The sequence below is a fragment of the Homo sapiens genome, chromosome 1 (genome assembly GCF_000001405.40).
Source record: "Homo sapiens chromosome 1, GRCh38.p14 Primary Assembly".
Classification (NCBI taxonomy): Eukaryota; Metazoa; Chordata; class Mammalia; order Primates; family Hominidae; genus Homo; species Homo sapiens.
In genome coordinates this window covers 112,553,324-112,577,146 of record NC_000001.11, presented here as the reverse complement: position 1 = coordinate 112,577,146, position 23,823 = coordinate 112,553,324, and the positions used below count along the sequence as shown (strand labels likewise).

Here is a 23,823-nt window from a genome sequence, read left to right as displayed (position 1 = left end):
CATACTTTTTTTCTTTTTTTTAGCATATTTATTTTTTCATTTTGTGGTTTTCTTGTAGATTCTCTCCAGAAACAGCCTCCAGAAGAGGATTAAGCACAGCAGAAATTAATGCCGTGGAAGCAATTCATAGAGCTGTGGAATTTAATCCTCATGTTCCAAAAGTGAGAAATTTTATGATAAAAATACTACCTTTATTTAAGTTTATCAAATTGATGACAGTTCGTAGACCAGAGTCTGGGTCACCATAATTTGGTGCAGAATTGTTTTAATCTGCTATATTTTGATGCTTATTATTCACCTTACAGGGGACGTTGAAACATTTAGGCATTTAGAAAGGTAGATAGGAGCAATAGTTAGCTATATGCTTTGTAATTACTATCAAAATATAATTTGAACTGTGTTCACTTAGCTGTTCTTTTAGTATAGTTGTAGAAAATAAATAATGGGTTGGTCTTAATAAAAGATTATTCATATTTCTTATCACTAAATCAAATTTCCTGTTACTGTGAAAGCTTTTTCTAGACAGATGCCTGGGTTTTGAACTAGGGTTGGGTAGACAAAAACTGAAGACAAACAGATTAAAATAATCAATGATAGGAGGCAGATGTGGAAATTCCCAGAAAAACTGGCTGATGCTTATTTCGTCCCCAATGAGTCTATATACTTGCTTTGTCTTTATATTGTACACCTTGCAGTTATACAAATTATTGCTTAATCTTTGTGTGTTACAACACAAAATTAAATTTTGGGGTTTGGGCTGGGCACAGTGGCTCATGCCTATAATCTCAACACTTTGGGAGGCCGAGGTGGGAGGATTACTTGAGCCCAGGAGTTTGGGACTAGCGGCTGGGCAATGTGGTGAGACCTCATCTCTGCAAAAAATATAAAAATTATCTGAGTGTGGTGATGCTTCCTGTTGTCTCAGCTACTTGGGAGACCAAGGGGAGAAGATTGCTTGAGTCCAGGAGGTCGAGACTGTAGTGAGCTGCAATCACGCCACTGCACTGAAGCCTTGGGTGACAGAGTGAAACCCCATCTCAAAAAAAAAATTGGGGTTCTACAAACAATGCCCCATGTTAGGAAGTATAGACAATTCAAGAATAGATGCCCTTACTACGGAAAGTAATTATAGCTATTGATTCCAGTGAAAGGGTGTTAATAGAGCTTGGAAGCTAAAGAGCTACAGTAAAGAGATTAATTGCTAAAAGATAATTTCCAAGAAAAGGATGTTGTAAGCCTGTTAGAGTAAGTAAAGATATGGTTAAGAAAAGTACTTAAATCCAAGAAAGAGAGTCAACAAATATTTATACCATTCTCTCATTAAGTGACACTGGTTCCATAAATTTAAAGACAGCGGTTCACCCATATCTATGGTTTTGCATTCCATGGTTTCAGTTACCACAGTCAGCCTCTGTCTGAAAATATTACATGGAAAATTCCAGAAATAAACAATTCATAAGTTTTAAGTTGCATGCCGTTCTGAGTAGCTTGATGAAATCTTACACCATCCCCCTCCATCCAGGCTAGTACATGACTCATCCCCTTGTCCAGCATATCCAACACTGTCTATGCTACCCGCCCATTAGTCACTTAGTAGCCAACTCGGTTATCAGATCGACTGTCATGGTATCATAGTGCTTGTGTTCAGGTAACCTTTATCTTACTTAATAGTGACCCCAAATGCAAGATTGACATATTGTTATAACTGTTCTATTTTATCATTAGTTATTGTTATTAGTCTCTTACTGTGCCTAAATTATAAATTAAATTCTATCATGGGCATATATTTAGAGGAAAAAACATGGTGTACGTAGGGTTTGGTACTATTTGTGGTTTCAGATATCCACTGGGAGTCTTAAAACATATGTACTGAGGATAAGGAGTGAGTACTGTAAACTTTTATTTTTCTTTAGACAGAGTTTTGCTTTCGCCCAAGCTGGAGTACAGTGGCAGAATCTTGGCTCACTGCAACCTCCGCCTCCAGAGTTCAAGCGATTCTTCTGCCTCAGCCTCCCAAGTAGCTGGGACTACAGGTGCGCGCCACCACGCCCAGCTAATTATTTTGTATTTTTAGTAGAGACGAGGTTTCACCATGTTAGCTAGTATGGTCTCGATCTCCTGACCTTGTGATCCGCCCGCCTCAGCCTCCCAAAGTGCTGGGATTACAGGCATAAGCCACCGCGCCCAGCCTTGTAAACTTTTTATTATGAGTTCTACTACACATGCAGCAAAGTGTATGAGACAAAAATGTGCATCTTAATGATTTATTACAAAGTAAATGCTTGAAAACTATCGAGATCAAGAAACAGAACATTATCAACCCACAGACGCCTACCTGACTGCCCTTTCCCATTACAACCTCCCTTCCTACCTAAAGGTAACCACTATTCTTATTCATTTGTATTCTTATTTATTAATTATGTTTATTTCCTCCCTTTATGTTTTTTATCTGTACTTTTTATTTATGGATTTTTTTTCTTTTTTTTTTGAGACGGAGTCTTGTTCTGTCGCCCAGGCTGGAGTGCAGTGGCGTGATCTAGGCTCACTGCAAGCTCTGCCTCCCGGGTTTATGCCATTCTCCTGCCTCAGCCTCCCAAGTAGCTGAGACTGCAGGCGCCCGCCACCACGCCTGGCTAATTTTTTGTATTTTTAGTAGAGACGAGGTTTCACAGTGTTAGCCAGGATGGTCTCGATCTCCTGACCTTGTGATCCGCCCGCCTTGGCCTCCCAAAGTGCTGGGATTACAGGCGTGAGCCAGTGCGTCTGGCTTTTTTTTTCTTTTTAAGACAGACTCTTCAGCTATTCGAGAGGCTGAGGCAGGAGAATTGCTTGAACTCAGGAGGCAGAGGTTGCAGTGAGCCGAGATAGTGCCATTACACCGCAGCCTGGGTGACAGAGTGAGACTCTGTCTCATTAAAAAAAAAAAAAAAGTCCGGGCGCAGTGGCTCACACCTGTAATCCCAGCACTTTGGGAGGCCGAGGTGGGTGGATCGCCTAAGCTCAAGAGTTCAAGACCACCCAGGGCAGCATGGTGAAACCCTGTCTCTACTAAAAATACAAAAAAATTAACCGGGTGTGGTGGGGTGCGCCTGTAGTCCCAGCTACTTGGGGGGCTGAGGCAGGAGAATCACTTGAGTCCTAGAGATGAAGGTTGCAGTGAGCCGAGATCGCACCACTGCACTCCAGCTTGGGCTACAGAGTGAGACTCCGTCTCAAAAAAAAAAAAAAAAAAAAAACAGGAAAAGAAAAAACGAAGACAGGGTCTTGCTCTCATGCCCAGGCTGGAGTGCAGTGGTGTGATCTTGGCCCACTGCAACCTCCACCTCCTGGGCTCAAGCGATCTGCCCGCCTCAGCCTCCCAAAGTGCTGGGATTACAGGTGTGAGCAAACATATGCCTGGCCCTGGATTTATAAATGAGTTAAAGAGTGGTCCCTGTTTATTTATTCTGTGGAATAATTTGTATAAAATTAGAATTATTTCTGCCCTAAATGATTAGTAAATTTGTTATTAAAGCCATCTGATTCTTCAGTTTTCTTTGTGAGAAGACTTTGAGTTACAAATTTCATTTCTTTAATAGTTTAATTACAAATTCAATTTCTAAGCATATCATAACTATTGAAATTTTTTGTTTCTTCTTATGTTTTTGTTAAGTTGTATTTTTCTAAAAATTTATTTCATCAAAATTCTCAAATGTATTGACATAAGGTATTCATAAAATCCTTTTATTGCCATATTAGTATTTGCAGCATTAGTTGTAATACTCAATTTTTAATTCTTTTTTTTTTTTTTTTTTTTTTGAGAGGGAGTTTTGCTCTTGCTGCCCGGGCTGGAGTGCAATGGCGCGATCTCGGCTCACTGCAACCTCCACCTCCCGGGTTCAGGTGATTCTCCTGCCTCAGCCTCCTGAGTAGCTGGGATTACAGGCATGCGCCACCATACCCAGCTAATTTTGTATTTTCGGTTGAGATGGGGTTTCTCCATATTGGTCAGGTTGGTGTCAAACTCCCAACCTCAGATGATCAGCCCGCCTCGGCCTCCCAAAGTGCTGAGATTACAGGCATAAGCTACTGCACCTGGCCCCACTTTTTAATTCCTAACCTTGGCTAGTTTTATTTTTCTTGATCAGGTTCTTTAGGGATTTGCCAATCTTACTTGTTTTTGCCAAGAACTTGGCTCTGGCTTTGTTGGGTTTTTTCTACTATTTATTTTCTGGTTCATTCATTTCTGCTCTTTATTGCCTTCCTTCAACTTAATTTGAGTTTATTTTATTTTAATTTCCTGTGTCTTCTCACATAGGTACTTAACTCTGTAATTTTCGTCTTTCTTCTGATATACCCAGTTAAATCTAGAAACTTCTCTCAACACAATTTTAACTGCATACTATAGCAACATTTTTTACATAATTTAGTTCAAAATATTTTCTTTAAAAAAAAATAGAGACAGGATCTCCACATGTTGCCCAGACTGGTCTTGAACTCCTGGCCTCAAGCATCCTCCCTCCTCAGCCTCCCAAAGTGCTGGGATTACAGGTGTGAGCCACCTCCCTTGGCCCAAAATATTTTCTAATCTGTTTATAATTTCATCTTTGATTTAGAGTTATATTTATTCCATGAAGGTAGATATAATAAACAAAAGATTTTCTTCAAATTTTTTTTCTTCTTTTTCTTTTTTCTGCTTTGCTCATGTTGAGAAACAACAGATTTCCAAAGTAGATGAAACAGCCTTCTATTGGAAGAAGATGCCAACTAAGACTTTCATAGCTAGAGAGGAGAAGTTGTTCCTGGCTTCAAAGCTTCAGAGGACAAGCTGACTCTCTTCTTAGGGGCTAATGCAGCTGGTGACTTTAAGTTGAAGCCAGTGCTTACTTACCATTCCAAAAATCCTAGGGTCTTTAAGAATTATGCTAAATCTTCTCTGCCTGTGCTCTATAAATGGAACAACAAAGCCTGGATGACAGCACATCTGTTTATAGCATGGTTTAAACACTATTTTAGGCCCACTGTTGAGACCTACTGCTGAGACATGATTCTTTTTAAAATATTACTGCTCATTGACAATGTACCTAGTCACCCAAGAGCTCTGTTGGAGATGTACAAGGAGATTAATGTTTCCACACCTGCTAACACAACAGCCATTCTGCAGCCCACAGATCAAGAAGTCATTTTGACTTGGAAGTCCTATTATTTCAGAAATACATTTAGTAAGGCCGTAGGTCCCATATATAGTGATTCCTCTGGTGGATCTGGGCAAAGTAAATTTTATATGTCATGGGAAACCAAAAAATTTGTGTGACTTGCTTTATTTTGATATTTGCTTTATTGCAGTGGTCTGGAAGTGAACTTGCAATATGTCCAAGATATGTCTATAGTTACAAACATGAATTTTGGGATATATAAAGTATGCTTCATTAAAACTATATAGGCTGGGCGTGGTGGCTCACACCTGTAATCCCAGCCCTTTGGGAGGCCGAAGCGGGTGGATCACCTGAGGTCAGGAGTTCGAGACCAGCCTGACCAACATGGAGAAACCCCATCTCTACTAAAAATACAAAATTAGCCAGGCCTGGTGGCACATGCCTGTAACCCCAGCTACTCAGGAGGCTGAGGCAGGAGAATCACTTGAACCTGGGAGGTGGAGGTTGCAGTGAGCCAAGATCATGCCATTGTACTCTGCCTGGGCAACAAGAGCGAAACTCTGTCTCAAATAAATAAATAAAACTATATAGATATATAGATAGATAGATATACATACACACATATACACTTTAACATTTTAATGTCATTTTTATTTATAGGTAGAAATTTACCCATTTTCCCCTCAACTAAATATCAAAGCAGTTGACAATTCAGCTATTTCAAAATATCCAGCTAAGTGAGTGATGCTATAAACTTATATTATTGTTTGTAGATAGACCCTTTAAGCCGAGTGTTATGAAACACAATAATTATTAAGGTTTTTTTGAAGAATTTGGTTTTTTTGAGACAGTCTCGCTCTGTCATCCAGGCTGGAGTGCAGTGGGCTGATCTCGGCTCACTGCAACCTTCACCTCCCGGGTTCAAGCGATTCTCCTGCCTCAGCCTCCTAAGTGGCTGGGACCGCAGGCATGCGCCACCACGTGCAGCTAATTTTTGTATTTTTAGTAGAGATGGGGTTTCACCATGTTGGCCAGGCTGGTCTCGAACTCCTGACCTCAAGTGGCCCACCTGCCTCGGCCCCGCTAAGTGCTGGGATTACAGGCGTGAGCCACCACTTTTGGAGAAGATTTGTGAGCCAAAACTTTTGGAGAAGTTTTAAACTTCACCAACCTGAATAATATCTCACTTAAATAACATTGATGTTATATGAACTGGGAGAGCTCTGGAATTTGTGACTGGCTGTTTTTGCTAGGGTTTTACAATTGATGAAGTATGTACAGACCCTCTTTTTCTCCTGTTATGGTCTCTATTCCTGACTGTCAGCTGGAAGCAAGCAAACATAAAGGGATTTAGGGGTTTTCTTCTTCACACTTCAATTGTGAGTCACAATAACTTATTCAACCTAAGGAACAGTGACATTTCAAATATATGTGTGTGTGTATATATATATATATATATATATATACATCTTTTATTCTCACAAATTTATTATACAAATGGTTGTATGCATCTTAGCAGTAAAATGACAAAGGATAAAGCTGTTTTAGCGGGAAATATTTTTGGCAACTTTCCACATAACTACAACAGAAATGGCTGTAGGTCTAGAGCTGTGCAATTTGTTAAAGCTGGAAACTATTAGAAGTGCAATAGAGAAAGATCATATAAATTTCTTCAAGCAATGAATTTGCTTTTAGGTATTTCATTAATATTGATAGCTTCTATAGCTTTTTTATTCTACTAAATGAATTTCAGTGTATAGTAACTGATAGTACCACAGTAAAAAAAATAGAACAGCATGTGTTCATGGTTTTTGACTTATTCTTCATTATTTAGCTATGGCTTTGATTCAGTGAACTTTTTTTTTAGTTGCCAAACACAAAAACGGTCGTTTATCTTTCAGCTACTATATGAATTGTCAGTTTTATTTTCAGTAGAAATTGTTTCATATATTCTAAATATTCCACTGCATTCTGTTTCATTCATTCTGGTATCATACTTTTCTTATCCAACCATCAAATGGTTTCATAGTTTTTTTGTTTTTTTTTTTTTTTTTGAGACAGAATCTTCCTCTGTCATCCAGGCTGGAATGCAGTGGTGCTATCTCGGCTCACTGCAACTTCCACCTCCCGGTTTCAAGCGATTTTCTTGCCTCAGCCTCCTGAGTAGCTGGGACTACAGGTGCGTGCCACTACGCCCGGGTAATTTTTGTAATGTTTAGTAGAGATGGGGTTTCACCATGTTAGCCAGGGTGGTCTTGATCTCCTGACCTCGTGATCCACCCGCCTCGGCCTCCCATAGTCATGGGATTACAGGCGTAAGCCACTGCGCCCAGCTGATACTGTCTTTCTTATTGAGATAATTTACATACTATAAAATTCACTTTTAAAGGATATAATTCAGTGGTTTTTAGTATATTCACAAGGTTGTAAAATCATTACCACTATTTAATTCTGGAAAGAAGTACCTGTTAGTAGTCACCCCCCAGTCCCTCACAACCACTAATCTACTTTCTGTCTTTATGCATTTGCCTATTCTGGACTTTTCATATGAATTGAATCGTATAATAGTGGCCTTTTGTGTCTGACTTCTTTCACTTAGCATAATGTAGCATATGTCAGTACTTCCTTCATTTTATGGCTGAATACTATTCCATTGTACCACATTTTGTTTATACATTCAACTGATGGACATTTGGGTTGGTTTCACTTTTTGACTAGCATGAATAATGCTGTTATGAACATTCATGTACAAGTTTTTGTGTGAACATAAATTTTTCAATTCTCTCAAGTATACACCTAGAAGTGGAACTGGTAGATCGCAAGTAATTCTGTTTAATTTTTTGAGAGACTGCCAAACTGTTTTGCAGAGTAACTGCATTATTTTACATTCCCTCAGCAATGTGTGAGTTCCAGTTCCTCTACATTTGTCTCAACACTTATTATTATCTGTCTTTTTTATTATAGTTATCCCAATGGGTATGAAGTGATATTTCATTGTAGTTTTGTTTTGTATTTCCCTAATGACTAATGATATTAAGCATCACTTTAATATGTTTATTGGCTGTTTGTGTTTTTTCTTTGGACAGATATATGTTCAAGTTGCATATTTTTAAATTTTTGTTTTATATATATATATATATATATATATATTTATATTTATATTTATAAAAAACAGGGTCTCCCTATGTTGCCCGGGCTCGTCTCAAACTCCTGGGCTCCAGGGATCCTCCTGCCTCAGCTTCCCGAAGTGCTAGGATTACAGGCTTGAGTCACTGTGCCTGGCCTAAATTTGTTTTTTTGTTGTTGTTTTTTTGTTTTTTAAATTAAAGGTATTCTATTTATCTTTTTATTATAAGGTATTCTTTAACATTATTATTGGCCAGGCGCAGTGGCTCATGCCTGTAATCCCAGCACTTTGGGAGGCTGAGGCGGGCGAATCACAAGGTCAGGAGATCGAGACCATCCTGGCTAACACGGTGAAACTCCGTCTCTACTAAAAATACAAAAATTAGCCAGGCATGGTGGTGGGCGCCTGTAGTCCCAGCTACTTGGGAGGCTGAGGCAGGAGAATGGCATGAACCTGGGAGGCAGAGCTTGCAGTGAGCCGAGATCATGCCACTGCACTCCAGCCTGGGCGACAAAGCAAGACTCCGTCTCACAAAAAAAAAAAAAAAAAAAAAATATTATTACAGTAGACCATTGACACTCTTGATTAATGTGATCCAGAACCATTGTGAATATCCACATTTGAAAATGCCACTATTACATGTATTTTCACCTATGAAATGTAAACATGAGAATGGGTCACAAACCTTGCTGAGATACAGATGCTAAAGAGCCTGCTAGATGTATTCATTAGGTACATCATTCACATGCGTGCACAAGCCTCAAAGCATGTTATTCAAATTTGTGCCTTAGCAAAATGATGCCTGCTATACATCATGGGTATTTGGAGCTCCCACAAAGAGTAGAAATTGTAAACGTTAGATCCCTGAATGTCAGTGATCTACTATAAATGTAACTATTGTTGGTATGACACTTCACACATCAGTTAGAATAATATCGCCCAACTTTAAGATCTAACAATGGCTTGCTGTAATATTTTATTGATGATTTTTAAAGTAAGCATACTATAGCTGAATTCTTCTAAATTTTATTTTATATTCAAATATAAAATAATTACTATAAAAAACAAAATCACAGAATGGATCCACATATATACTGTCATATATGTGACAAAACATTCACATATATACTGTCAATTGATTTTTGACAAAAGCACCAATGCAATTCAATGGGGAAATGGAACTTCAACAAATGGTACTAGAACATCTGGATATCTAAATGTGGTGGGAGGGAATCATGAATTTTTTTCACATAGCATACACAAAAATTAATTTGAAATGTGTCATTGATCTAAATATAAAAACCAAAACTATACAACATCTAGACCAAAACATCTAAGACTATCTTTGAAAGCTGGGGGTAAAGAAAGATTTCCTAGGACATAGAAGGCAATTATAAGAGAAGACAATTACAAATTGAACTTTATCAAAATTTTAAAAGTCTGCTCATGTTAGTGTTAAGACAAAAAGGCAAGCCATGGACAGGAAAAAATATTTGTAATATGTTTATCTGACAAAGGACTCGTATCCAAAATATATACATATAAAAAAACACAATATTAAAAAATGGGCAAAAGCCTTGAACAGATACTACAAAAGAAAATATTGGAATGTCCAATAACACATAAAGAGATGTTCATATGAAGGTAAAATGAAGCAGGCAAAAAAAGAAAAGATGTTCAACATCATTAGTTATGAGAGAAATGCAATATAAAGTCATGAAGTAATACTTTCACATCTATCAGAATGACTAAAATTTAAAAGACTGATAAAATGTCAATAAGAATGTGAAAGTCAGAACTTTCATACACTGCTGCTAAGATTACAAAATGGTACAACCACTTTGGAAAACTGGCAATTTCTGATACAATTAAATATATCCTTCAACCTGTGATCCAGCAATCCTACTCCAAGGTATATACCCAAGAGAAATGAAATCATATGTCCACAAGAAGAGTTGAACATGAATATCATAGCAGTTCTATTTATAATAGCCCCAAACTAGAAACAATCCCAATGTCCTTCAATAGGTAAATAGATAAGTAAGTTACAATACAGTGGTATTCAGCAATAAAAAGACCTACTGATACAAGCAAAACATGAATGAAACCAAAAATATGACATATAAACAAGTACTTACTGAATGATTCCATTTATGTGAAGTTCAAGAAAAGGCAAAAAGTGATCTGTGGTGGTAGAAATGAAAACACTGTTTGCCTCAGGTGGTCAGGTGAAACATTCATTAACTAGAAAGGAGAACTTCCTGGAGTGAAAGAAGATACGTTTTGATGGCCAGGCGCAGTGGCTCATGCCTGTAATCCCAACACTTTGGGAGGCTGAGGAGGGCGGATCACGAGGTCAGGAGTTCGAGACCAGCCTGGCCAGCATGGTGAAACCCCATCTCGACTAAAAATACAAAAAATTAGCTGGACATGGTGGCACACACCTGTAGTCCCAGCTACTTGGGAGGCTGAGGCAGGAGAATCACTTGAACCCAGGAGGTGGAGGTTGCAGTGAGCCTATATCACGCCACTGCACTCCAGCCTAGATGACAGAGCAAGACTCTGTCTCAAAAAAAAAAAAAAAAAAGAAGAAGAAGAAAAAGAAATAAAAGAAAATATGTCTTGATTTGGGCATTACTTGTCTACATTTGTCAAAACTCATCAAGCCGCATATTTAGGATCTATGTATTTAAAATTATACCTCAATAAAGAAAAAAGAATTTGACTTAGCATGGAAAGCATTGTAAAAGTATCATGCCTTCTGATGAAATTAGATAATGTATGTGAAGTGCTTAACACAGTGTCTGAGTGTCAGGCTATTATTGATTATCATGGTGGTTGTCACTTTATTTCTGTACCTTTTTTTTTTTTCTTGAGACAGAGTTTTGTTCTGTCATCCAGGCTGGAGTGCAGTGGCATGATCATGACTCACTGCAGCCTCAGCCTGGTGGGCTCAAGTGATCCTCCCACCTAAGCCTTCCTAGTAGCTGGGACTACAGGTGCATGCCACGGAGCTAATTTTTGTATTTTTTGTAGAGATGGGGTTTTGCCATTTGTCCAGGCTGGTCTTGAACTCCTGGGCTCAAGCAGTCCGCCCACCTTGGCCTCCCAAAGTGCTGGGATTACAGGCATGAGCCACTGTGCCTGGCCCATCTTCTTTGAGTTGTTCAGTGTTTGTTTCTTTGTGGATGTTATTTTAGTGTTTGTAGCCTTAGAATGTATAAGGTTTGGGGGATTCCTTTGTTGAGATGAGGTAGTGGTGAAGATTTTGAAAACAGTTAGGAATTAACTAATTTGAATTAGCTAATAACGTAATAATAGTTAGGTAATAACTAATTTGAATTAGTTACAATACCCTGAAAACAGTTTGTGTCTTACAGAAGAAGCCCTTAGGGCAAGAGTAAAGTAGAGCAGTAAGAAACAAAACAATAACAAAAGTGTGTTTAGTAAATCCTTATAACTGGAGTACATATTTAGAAATTCGCTATCTGTAGCATTTAAAAGTTACTATTTTGGCTGGGCGTGGTGGCTCACGCCTGCAATCCCAGCACTTTGGGAGGCCGAGATGGGTTGGATCATCTGAGGTTAGGCGTTTGAGACCAGCCTGGCCGACATGGTGAAACCCTGTCTCTACTGAAAATACAAAAAAAAAAAAAAAAAAAAAAAAAAAAAATTAGCCGAACATGGTGGTGGGCGCCTGTAATCCCAGCTACTTGGGAGGCTGAGGCAGGAGAATCGCTTGAACCTGGACGGCAGAGGTTGCAGTGAGCCGAGATCGCGCCATTGCACTCCAGCCTGGGCAACAAGAGCAAAGCTCCATCTCAAATAATAATAATAATAAATAAAAATTACTATTTCTTATTTTACAATAAAACTGCTTTTAGTGTTATGCTGCCAAGAAAGTAGACTATACCTGGAGACTTTTAAGTGCAGAGGAAGTTTTAAAAATAAATTGATACATAGAAAGTAAAATCTGTTCTGGTTGATCAGAAATGGAAGCCCGTAGAATGTTACAAGTCTTATCCACCCTAGAAGATAGTAGCTCTTTTTTTTTTTTTTTTTTTTTTGAGATGCAGTTTTGCTCTTGTTGCCCAGGCTGGAGTGCAATGGCACAGTCTCGGCTCACTGCAACCTCCGCCTCCTGGGTTCAAGCAATTCTCCTGCCTCAGCCTCCCAAGTAGCTGGGATTATAGGCACCCGCCACCACACCTGGGCAATTTTTGTATTTTTAGTAGAGGCAGGGTTTCACCATGTTGGCCAGGCTGGTCTTGAACTCCTGACCTCAGGTGAGCCACCTGCCTTGGCCTCCCAAAGTGCTGAGCCACTGCTCCCAGCTGATAGTAGCTCTTTAGCAGCAGACTTGCATTTCACTGGCTAAACTACTTATATCATAGCACCGGCATATATAAAAGATAAAAGGGAAACAGGTGCTCAGTTGACATTCCGAGTGGCATAGCAGGGGTAAAGAGAGCAAAGGAGAAGTGTTGAAGTCTGTGACCCAAACTTAGAGCACAATGAAACCTTTGCCTTTCCCTTATGTTGTACTGTGGCCTAAGTAGAAGAGTTGAGATATGAAATGCTTATATCTTGAGGTGTGGCTCTGTAGGATGATGTGGAAAGGAGTTTTCTTGTAGCAATGCCCTCTCCAGCCTCCTTTCCTTTTCCCTTCAGTATAAGTCACTTTATTTGGCTCCTGAAATTGTTAGGTAGTATTATGTTTTCTTTCAGTTTATTCACATAGCAGTTCTGTTTATTTTCTATCTGGGAACTGTCTTTAGTCTCCCCCAATACATACCAATGTGGACTCTGCATTCGCCCTGCCTGTCCAATCTCATAGAATGTGCACTGAGAAAACTAATTGCAGAGATAAGTTGGTTCTTTGTGTGCATGACTGATCAAGAGCAAAGTACCTTAATTTCAGATGCCTTCAGAGAGATTTTTCTTTAACCTCTGCTTTTAAGAGGAAGATTATAAAGCATTATCATTACTTCAGGTCAGAATTATATTGCTTTTGGTCAAAAGCTGTTGTAAGATTTACAAAGTAATAGAAAAAAGTAATCTAAAGATAAATTATAAAGATCAAAGCAGTTCAAAATTAAAGTAAATTTGAGTGTAAGCATACATAGGGCTTTAGAGTTGTAAAAGAAACCACTAGACCATACATCATTATGTCTTTTTAACCATAGCTTCCAAAGGAGCCTTAATAATTATATTTTTAGTGAAAAGCAACAGGCTAAATTCTCTTGTTTTACTCATTTGAATGTATTGTTCATAGTTGAATGCTAGTTAAAATTGTCCCAAGCAGTTTCTCATTACAGACACAATAGGCTGAGTCAGAGGTAATATGGAAGGTCTGATAGCACATATTAGGTCCTAGCTTTGGTTTGTGTCCTCAGCTATGTTTTATTTGTTGATAATTTCCAAATCTGTGTCTTTTATCTCTGGCTTCTTTCTTTGTCTGTAGACTTAGCATTTCCATCTGGTTGTGGAAATCACATGTTAAGTACCTCAAACACTTTAATGTGTCTCAAACAGAATTTTTAAAATTTGTTAAGTCCTTTCTTCAAACTGCCAAACTGCCTCTCATTTATTTCTATATTTTGATTTATGGCTTCATTATCCTCTCATTAACCCTTACCTCTGCCATTTCCAAATTGCCAACTCATATTATAACCTTTGAAATGTTTTTCAGATCTAGCCATCTATCTCATCCCCACTGTCACTGACTCTTGTTTGCCTTCATTACCTGTACTTTAAAAAATATATTATTATTATTATTATTATTATAACAAAAGTAATAGGTACTTTTTAAAAATTCAGACTCTTCAGACTTTTACAAAGTAGAAATCTCCTGTTCTCTCCCTCCCAATTCTACTTCTCTGAAGTAACCACCTGTTACTGTTTGGTATATATATTGGCCCACATTTTCTACGCATTTCTAAACACATAGAGATAGACATAGAAAGAATCTCAAATACTTTACCGTGTCTTGTGTGGACTATTAAAACAGATTCCTCACTCATCTTTCTGCCATCAGCCCTTCTCCATTCCAGCTATTGCCAGAGTTATCTACCTAAATAGCAAGTCTTAAAAGACCTCTGCTTGTTCCCGATTGCCTACAGGATAAGGACCAACCTTTTAGTATTACACCTATAAAAGCCCTTCATATTCTGGGCCAGTATCTGTCTCCAGCCTTACTCTTTGCCAGTTCTGCTTTGCTCATTATGTTCATTGTCACTGTTCCCTGGATTGGTCATGCCTCATCATACCTCACCGCCATTGTCTTCTCTACCTGGCAAATTTCTACTCATTCTTTAAGACCCTGCTCATCTGTTGTCTCCTTTATAAGGAGTTTTTTCTAGTTTTCCCAAGAAGAGATAACGGCTTTCTCTTCTCTGTTCCTTCAGTATCTCAATCATATCTTTTTTTTTAATTGGTCTGTTTGTATGTTTCTCCCATAGTTCCCTCTGAACAAAAGCAGGGCACTTGTCTTACTTATCATTTAATGTCCAACACTCTTCCTAGCTTATATAGACAATCAGTAAACACTGGGAAACAGACATATCTGTAGTTTGGAACTGCATTGCTTTAAAAGTCTATCTAAGTTAAAGAAAGTAGATTGGGCACAGTGGCTCACACCTGTAATCCCAGCACTTCAAGAGGCCAAGGTGAGAGGATCACTTGAGCCCAGGAGTTAGAAACCAGCCTGGGCAACACAGTGAAACCCTATCTCTACAAAAAAAATTAAAAAGCTAGCCAAATGTGGTAGTTGCACCTACAGTCCCAGCTACTAAGGAGGTTGAGGCAGGAGGATTGCTTGAGCCCAGGAGGTCGAGGCTGCAGTGAGCTATGATCATACCACTGCACTCCAGCCTGAGTGACAGAGTGAGTCCCTGTCTCAAAAAAAAAAAAAAAAGTAAAGTTTTAGAAGCATCATTTCTTCAAATTTTTAAGCTAGTTTACGTAACTGTTTTTACAAGTTTTGCTTAATAATACCATTTTTTTACCTTTTAAAGATGACAGTGTGATTTTACCATGACTGTATTTACTATATTATGAAATAACTCAGCTTTAAATATGATATCATACAACAATTAAAAATGTTAGATTGGCCGGGCAACGCATGCCTGTAATCCCAGCACTTTGGGAGGCCAAGGCAGATAGATCACCTGAGGTCAGTAGTTTGAGATCAGCCTGACCAACATGGTGAAACCCCATCTCTACTAAAAATACAAAATTAGCCAGGTGTGGTGGTGCACGCCTGTAATCCCAGCTACTCAGGAGGCTGAGGCAGGAGAATCGCTTGAACCCAGGAGGCAGAAGTTGCACTGAGCCGAGATCACGCCATTGCACTCCAGTCTGGACAACAAAAGCAAAATTCCATCTCCAAAAAAAAAAGTTAGATCTGTATAGAGACAGGAAGGGAGGCGCAAAATGTATTATGCATAGAAAAAGAAATCCAGACAAACATAAATCAGATTATTGTCTTTTTTTTTTTTTTTTTTTGAGGCAGGGAGCTCAAACTTCTGAGGTCCAGCTATCCTCCTGCCTTAGCCTCCTGAGTAGCTGGGACTACAGGCATGTACCACCATGCCCTGTCTTTAGTTTATTTTTTTATTCTTCAAACATATTATTTTCTACTACTTAGCTCTGTTATGTTTCCATTTCTGTACACTGAGCATATACTTTACTAAGCAGAAAAAAAAAGACTGAAAAAAATCATCGGTCAGTTTTTAATCTTTTATATTCTTCTTAGAAAATTAAAGTCTGGGTAGCAGAGTTTTTGTATTTGGTTTTAGTTTTCCCAGAGAGTTAAAATATATCTTTGGTAAAAACTAAAATATAAATATGAATTTGAAGACATTTCAGCTGTATTTATCAGATTAACTCAGTTAATAAGTTTTTTTTTTTTTTTTTCTTTAAGATGTAGTTTTGCTGTTGTCGCCCAGGCTGGAGTGCAATGGCACGATCTCGGCTTACTGCAACCCCTGCCTCCCGGGTTCAAGCAATTCTCCTGCCTCAGCCTCCCAAGTAGCTGGGATTACAGGCACCCACCACCATGCCTGGCTAATTTTTTGTGTCTTTAGTAGAGATGGGGTTTTACCATGTTGGCCAGGCTGGTCTCAAATTCCTGACCTCAGGTGATCTGCCCGTCTCAGCCTCCCAAAGTGCTGGGATTACAGGTGTGAGCCACCGCGCCTGGCCAATAAGTATTTTAATACTTGCTTTTAGTGTAATATGCTAGGCATGGTAGTAGAATTTTAAGGATATGGTTTTTATAGTGTAATAAGTTACAGCCTATGCTGGGTAGTGGAAATTCCTGAGTAGCAGTTTGTGAAGGAGATAAAATAAATAATCTTATAATTTGTATACATTTTCCTTAAATTGAAATTTTTCTCTTATATTTTGGGGATCAACTTTTATTTTACTGTCTAATCAGGAATTGAAAAATTGCTTTTTTGTTTTTGTTTTTTGGTTTTTGGGTTTTTTTGAGACAGAGTCTCGCTCTGTCATCCAGGCTGGAGTGCAGTGGCGCGATCTTGGCTCACTGCAAACTCCGCCTCCCGGGCTCACGCCATTCTCCTGTCTCAGCCTCCCGAATAGCTGGGACTACAGGCGCCCGCCACCACGCCCAGCTAATTTTTTGTATTTTTAGTAGAGACGGGGTTTCACCGTGTTAGCCAAGATGGTCTGGATCTCCTAACCTCGTGATCCTCCCGCCTCGGCCTCCCAAAGTGCTGGGATTACAGGCGTGAACCACTGCGCCTGGCCCGAAAAATTGCTTTGTTTTAAAGTCAAATTGGAAAGGATATTTGCTGGTGGGTAGGACCACCAATAATAATCGATAACAAATAATTATTTTAAATAAAAAATAAGCTAGCATAAGGAAGATTTTTTTTTCTTTTTGAAATGGAGTCTTGCTCTGTTGCCCAGGCTGGAGTGCAGTGGCACGATCTCGGCTCACTGCAACTGCCACCGCCCGGCTTCAAGCAGTTATCTGCCTCAGCCTCCCGAGTAGCTGGGATTACAGGTGCCCGCCACCACGCCTGGCTAATTTTTGTATAGTTAGTAGAGACGGGGTTTCACCATCTTGGCCAGGCTGGTCTTGAACTCCTGACCTCGTGATCCACCTGCCTTGGCATCTCAAAGTACTGGGATTACAGGTGTAAGCCACTGCGCCCAGCCAAGGAAGATTTTTAAAATGATTAAATAGAAAATATTTTTAATATAAAATCTTGAAGTATAATTTCTTAATAAGTGTGCCATGTGTGTTTACCACCTGAATTATCACTCAGATTATTAAACAGTAAAAATTTAGGTATATAGTTGCTGTTTAAAAAAGTATTTTTTTTTGCCAGGCGTGGTGGCTCATGCCTGTAATCCCAGCACTTTGGGAAGCCGAGGCTGGTGGATCACGAGGTCAGGAGTTCGAGACCAGCCTGGCCAACATAGTGAAACCCCGTTTCTACTAAAAATACAAAAATTAGCCTGGCATCATGGTGCATGCCTGTAGTCCCAGCTACTCGGGAGGCTGAGGCAGGAGAATCATTGGAACCTGGGAGGCAGAGGTTCTGGTGAGCCACTGCACTCCAGCCTGGACAACAGAGCAAGACACCGTCTAAAAAATAAATAAATAAAAGTATTTTTTGACACATCAAATTGATATTTTTTGTAATATAAGCTTTACTTAATAATTGTTAACTGAATATCTTTGCTTACATTTGCTAAATGGTTACGAATATACTAAATACTTAACATGTTGGGGTTTAAGGCTTCGGAGTTCTAAAATTCACTGAAAATGATTTGGGATATTTTGTCTCTTGTCTGTGAAATGAAACAGAATTTTAATAGAAAGAACTTGGTTTAAATATTATGCAGTTTTCTTCTGAAAACTCAGTATTCTTTTTATTATGACAATTCCACTGTGATTGCCACATTTTCTTTGCTTCCTACTGAAGAAGCTCTTAGTGCGCTTGCAAAGAACATAAGGAGTCATGTCAGAGGTCAGCTATTTGAGTCCATTTTCCCACAGCCGCCTGGTGCGAGTGATCTTTTACTGTGTTTTAAAAAAAATGGGCAAGGATTAGAGGGGATTAGAAAGAATATTACCCTCCTGAATATAGGCCCAAAGCACTAAGGGGAGAGAACCCAACCAGGCATCAAATGGGCTTTGCTTGACCAGGACACAACCTCTACTGCATTCCTTTAAGAAACTGAATGGGAAATGTTAAGTCCCCAAACTGGATTAGTAAATAATCTCATAGTTTGTGACATCTGGTAAAATAAATTGATGAGCAGACTATATTCTTACACTTTGAGAACAGAGCCAAAGACATCAAGAGTAAGAGTAATTAAAGATGGGCATTAAACTTAGTAATTGTTGGAAAGGTACATTTCATAAATCGAAAAATTATTTTAGATATAATATGAGGAGTACATGTATATTGATTAAATAAAGTAAGGCTTAAATTTTGAAACCACTACAGCTTTTTGTTTTTAAGAGTCTTCCTAGAGTCTTATTGCTTGTAGCAGTTTTACAAAGTGTTTCACAAATTCAGCTCTTTAATTTCTGTTGTCCCGTTAGTTTGTATAACAACCTGAGGAACTAGAATTTGAAATCTGAGAGTGTATCTTTTGAGACACCTCTGGAATGTTTCTCTTTTTATATTTTATAAGAGAAGTTAACATAATTTGTATCTTATGACACATAATTTGATATCAAATTGTTTGGAACCAAAGAGGTAATTTCAAACCTATTCTAGAAGGGCAAGTGCATTCTGGTCTCAGTCTTTGGAGATAGTATTTAGCTAACTAAGTAAGTTTTTAAAGGTTTTAAGTTGACTAATAGTAAAGATGCTGTACAGATAGTTAACTTTGTATCTTTCTACATATAACAAGTACATTTGATTGCTATAGTAACTGTGATTACACTGCTTTTGTTATAAATGATAATATTAGTACAAGTATTTTCATTAGGAGTTTAAGATAAAATTTAGGTTCATATCTGAAGAAGAATTGAGAGAAAACTATAACTTCTTTAACAGGCACATTAAATGTATCCTGCAGTATGCTCTCTTGGTTCAGTGCCTTTATTCAAGATGGCCCTGTGCTTTGTTTATGTCCTCCTGCTGTTCTCCTCACTCCCCAGTCCACTCATCCACATTCTACCTATCTGTAAATATCAAGTCAAATCCCATCAAGTGGTTTATTTCTAGCCTCTAAATCATAATACTTCCTAAACATAGAGTTATCATATGACTCAGCAGTTCTACTCCATGGTACTTACTCAAGAGAAACAAAAACATATGTTCATTCTGAAACTTATACACAAGTGTTTATAACAACATTATTCATAATAGCCGAAAGCTAAAAACAACCAAATATCTGTCAGTTGATGAATGGATAAACAGAACATATATACCATATGTACAATGCAGTATTATTCAGCCATAAGAAGAAATGAGGCACAAGTACCCATGCATGCTACAAACTGGGTGAACCTTGAAAACATTATGCTAAGTGAAAGAAACCAGTCACAAAATGATTCCATTTGTATGAAATATCCAGAATAGGCAAATCTATAGAGATATAAGATAGGTTAGTAGTTGCTTAAGGGGGTTGGGGGACTAGGGGAGAAGTGAGTTGTAACTAAAGGGTACAGGATTTTCTTTTGAAGTGATGAAAATGTTCTAAAATTGACTTTGGCAATAGTTGCACATATCTCTGAATATATTAAAAATCCTCGAATTGTATACTTTAATGGGTGAATTCTAAGGTATGTGAATTATATCTCAATAAAGGCTGTTATTTAAAAACTAAATTAAAAAAATTAATACCTCTATCTGTATTCCTATGTATTGCACCTTTTTTTTTCTTTTCTTTGTGTTTTTTTTTTTTTGTTTTTTTTTTTTTTTTTTGAGACAGAGTCTCGCTCTGTCGCCAGGCTGGAGTGCAGTGGCGCAATCTCGGCTCACTGCAACCTCCGCCTCCCGGGTTCAAGTGATTTTCCTGCCTCAGCCTCTTGAGTAGCTGGCACTACAGGCATGCACCACCAGGCCCAGCTAATTTTTGTATTTTTAGTAGAGATGGGGTTTCACCATGTTGGTCAGGATGATCTCGATTTCCTGACCTCACGATTTTGGCCTCTCAAAGTGTTGGGATTACAGGTGTGAGCCAGCGCACTCGGCCTTGTACATTGTGTATACCTCTAATAAAGTACTCACCGTAGTCTTGTTATAATTATTCACTTAAGAAATCTGTCTTTTCCATTGCATTATGTAGCTCCACAGAACAGGCAAAGCGTTCTTTGGTATTCCCTAACAACCACAGTGCTTTGAACTTAGTAAATAGGAATTTAATTGAACTTTTCCACAATTAAGTTCTTTCACCTATAAAATGTAAGTAAGAGAAAAAAGAATTGCACAAATATTGTTCCAAAATTGGATTTCATAATTTTTATATTTAATTCTTCCTTTCAGTAGGAAATGGCTTAATTAAAAATTTAAAATAAATGAATTTTAAAAATAAAAAATGTGTAATTTTTACATTTAATTCCTTTTTGGAAAAATAAATATCTACTCTCACATCTTCTCAGCTCGAGTTTCCATTTTGTATTTAGCCAGGCCACACATATGCCATTTATCACCTTATTTTTACCTATAGAAATATTCTGGTTTTCATAATTTGCGTATATAAGCATTTTATACATGTTATCAGTATCTTCATGTCATTTCAGTTAGTTTTTTAAAAATCAGTTTAACTTTCTAACACTTTGAATCTACATTTTTGTGGGTGTTTGAATTTAACACAATTTAATTTTTCTTTTTTCTGTTGTGTGTATATGTGTCTGTGTGTTACTCTTTCAGTATTTATTAGAGATGAAAAGTTTAATTTTACCTCCAGAACACATTCTGAAACGGGGTGATAGTGAAGCAATTGCCTATGCTTTCTTTCATCTTCAGCACTGGAAACGAATAGAAGGTGCTCTTAATCTGTTACAGTGTACATGGGAAGGCAGTAAGTATTCTTTTCCAAAAGTAACACTAATCTCTCTAACTATTCATTGAATTCACAGGCAGTCTTTTTAAATGAGATTGTCTGGGTTTCCATAAGGATTTGTCGTTCAGATTGGTTTCAAATGGAAATTAGTGATGAGATATTTGGTTTATTGGTAGAAATGCATAATGTTATATTGATCCCACAAAAGCAGAATGAGAAATTGTTATGGTATTCTGCCATATGTTAATTTAAGTTACATATTTGTAAGGAAAGAAAATGAAAACTTGGCCCTTTGACTTACAACTTTTTTTGTTTTTTTTTGAGACGGAGTCTCACTCTGTCCCCCAGGCTGGAGTGCAGTGGCGCAATCTCTGCTCACCACAAGCTCTGCCTCCTGGGTTCATGCCGTTCTCCTGCCTCAGCCTCCCAAGTAGCTGGGACTACAGGCGCCTGCCACCATGCCCGGCTAATTTTTTGTATATTTAGTAGAGATGGGGTTTCCTCGTGTTAGCCAGGATGGTCTCGATCTCCTGATCTCGTGATCCGCCCACCTCTGCCTCCCAAAGTGCTGGGATTACGGGCATGAGCCACCGCACCTGGCCTGACTTACAACTTTTTTAATGTGGTTGAGCTATTCTAATATTTTAAAAATTGGTCTTTTTGTTTTGTTTTGTTTTCCGATGTATACAATATGAAACTATTTTCTTCATAACTAATATCAACCTATTCTTTATTGTAAAATATATACAACATAAAATTTAGTTTTAACTATTTTAAGTATATAGTTCAGTGGCATTATGTACATTCATAGTGTTGTACGAACATCACCATCATCCATCTACAGAACTTTTTCATTATCCCAAACTGAAATTCTATACCCATTAAATAATAACTCCCCAGTCTTGCCTCCCTCTAGCCCTTGGCAGCCACCATTCTACTTTGTCTCTATGAGTTTGACTACTCTAGGTACCTCATATAAGTGGAATTACGTAATTTTTGTTCTGTTTTGTCTGGCCTTTTTCACTTAGTATAATATCTTCAAAATTCATTTATATTGGTAATATGCATCAGAATTTCATTTTTAAGCCTGAATAATTCATTGTATGTATATATCACATTTTTTTTATCCATTCATCTGTTAATGAACAGATACCCATTTAACTTGGGTTGTTTTTACCTTTTGGCTATTGTGAATAATGCTGCTACAAATATTGGTGTACAAATATCTATTTGAGTTCCTGCTTTCAGTTCTTTTGGGTATATGCCCAGAAAGGGAATTGCTGGATCATAAAATTCTATGTTTAATTTTTTAAGGAAGCTCAGTAGTGTTTTTTTCCATAGCAGCTGCACCATTTTACATTCCCACCAGCAAGGCACAAAAGTTCCAATTTCTTCACATCCTTGTCAACACTTGTTATTTTCTGGGATTTTTCTTTATGTAAATAATAGCCATCCTAATGGATGTGAAGTGGAATCTCATTGTGGTGGTGTTTTGCATTTCTCTGATGATTAGTGATGTTGAACATCTTTTCATGTGTTTATTGGCCATTTATATATCTTCTTTGGAGAATAAATTGGACTGTTTTAAACTAACTACCCGATCTCTTTAATTGTTGCTTCTTATAACCACCAAGAAAGTAAAGAAGCTTAATTAAAACATTTTACCATAGGATTCACATAATTCTTTTGAAAAGTACACCACAGCTATCAGTAAAAATTCAAAAATAAATTCAATGCTTATTCACTAAAATTGGTTAACCCGCCTCAGTTCCCAAACTACTCTGAGGCACCTTGGATATTGCAGCAATTCACAAGAGTGCTGTAGAACATTTTTAATTTTCAATGGAAACACAATACAATATTCAAGGCTAGGTATGGTGGCTCATGCCTGTAATTTCAGCACTTTGGGAGGCTGAGGCCTCCCAAAAGGTCAAGGCTTTAGTGAGCCGAGATGGCACTACTATATTCCAGCTTGGGTGACAGAGTAAGACCTTGTCTCAAAAATAATAATAAGAATAATTCAACATCTGTCAGATATCACTTAAACTATTAGCTCCAGACAGTTCACAGTTTCAACATTAGATCATTCTCCATTCCTTTCAATATCATTATATCTTTGCAAAGCTGGAGTTTTGTTAGTTGCTCTGATTAAAAGAAGTACCACACAAAAATCAATGTGATATAGGAAATGAGAATGGTAGTGTCCAATGTGATTCCAAGTTTTGAGAAGTTGTACAGTGTCTAATAGGCTCATACCTATATCTCATTAGTAAGAAATTATGGTCATTTAAAAATGAAATAAGAAAATTGATTTATTGATTCTTTAAATTTATGTGCATTTTTTTCCAAATTGCTGCTAAATTATCAGAACATAAATTTTTTAAGTTGTTTGGACTCACTATTAACAAGTGAAATTATCTTGAACCAATTTTGGAACCTCTGCATTAACCATTTGCTAAAAGCCAGACACTGTGGCTTGACAATGACAATGTAAATAAAATTGATGAGCCAAGTGTTGTGACTCACACCTGTAGTTCCAGCCACTAGGGAGGCTGAGGCAGG

General features: G+C 37.8%; 1 protein-coding gene across 29 annotated transcripts in view, besides 1 other annotated feature; it reads left to right on the top strand.

Moving 5' to 3' along the window:
- Positions 1-23,823, top strand: part of ST7L (suppression of tumorigenicity 7 like) — a 101,882-nt gene that overhangs the window by 42,538 nt on the left and 35,521 nt on the right. For 19 of the 29 annotated variants that reach the window (XR_007061292.1, XR_007061291.1, XM_011541628.3 and 16 more), the window contains 2 exons: positions 59-161; positions 21,129-21,279. Coding sequence is in view for 20 of the 29 variants with exons in the window: in XM_011541628.3 (XP_011539930.1) it covers positions 59-161; positions 21,129-21,279 (254 nt within the window). In the remaining 9 variants the exon portion in view is untranslated. Of the gene's footprint in view, positions 1-58; positions 162-1,913; positions 2,034-4,700; positions 5,285-21,128; positions 21,280-23,823 lie in introns of those variants that run through there. The other 10 variants (XR_007061293.1, XR_946675.3, XR_007061297.1 and 7 more) reach the window with 6 other exon arrangements.
- Positions 13,514-13,714: a silencer, noted in NCBI's record as "peak370 fragment used in MPRA reporter construct". NCBI's record gives its function as "represses an SCP1 promoter by STARR-seq MPRAs in K562 erythroleukemia cells {active_cell/tissue: K562}" and the evidence as "EXISTENCE:reporter gene assay evidence [ECO:0000049][PMID:32103011]".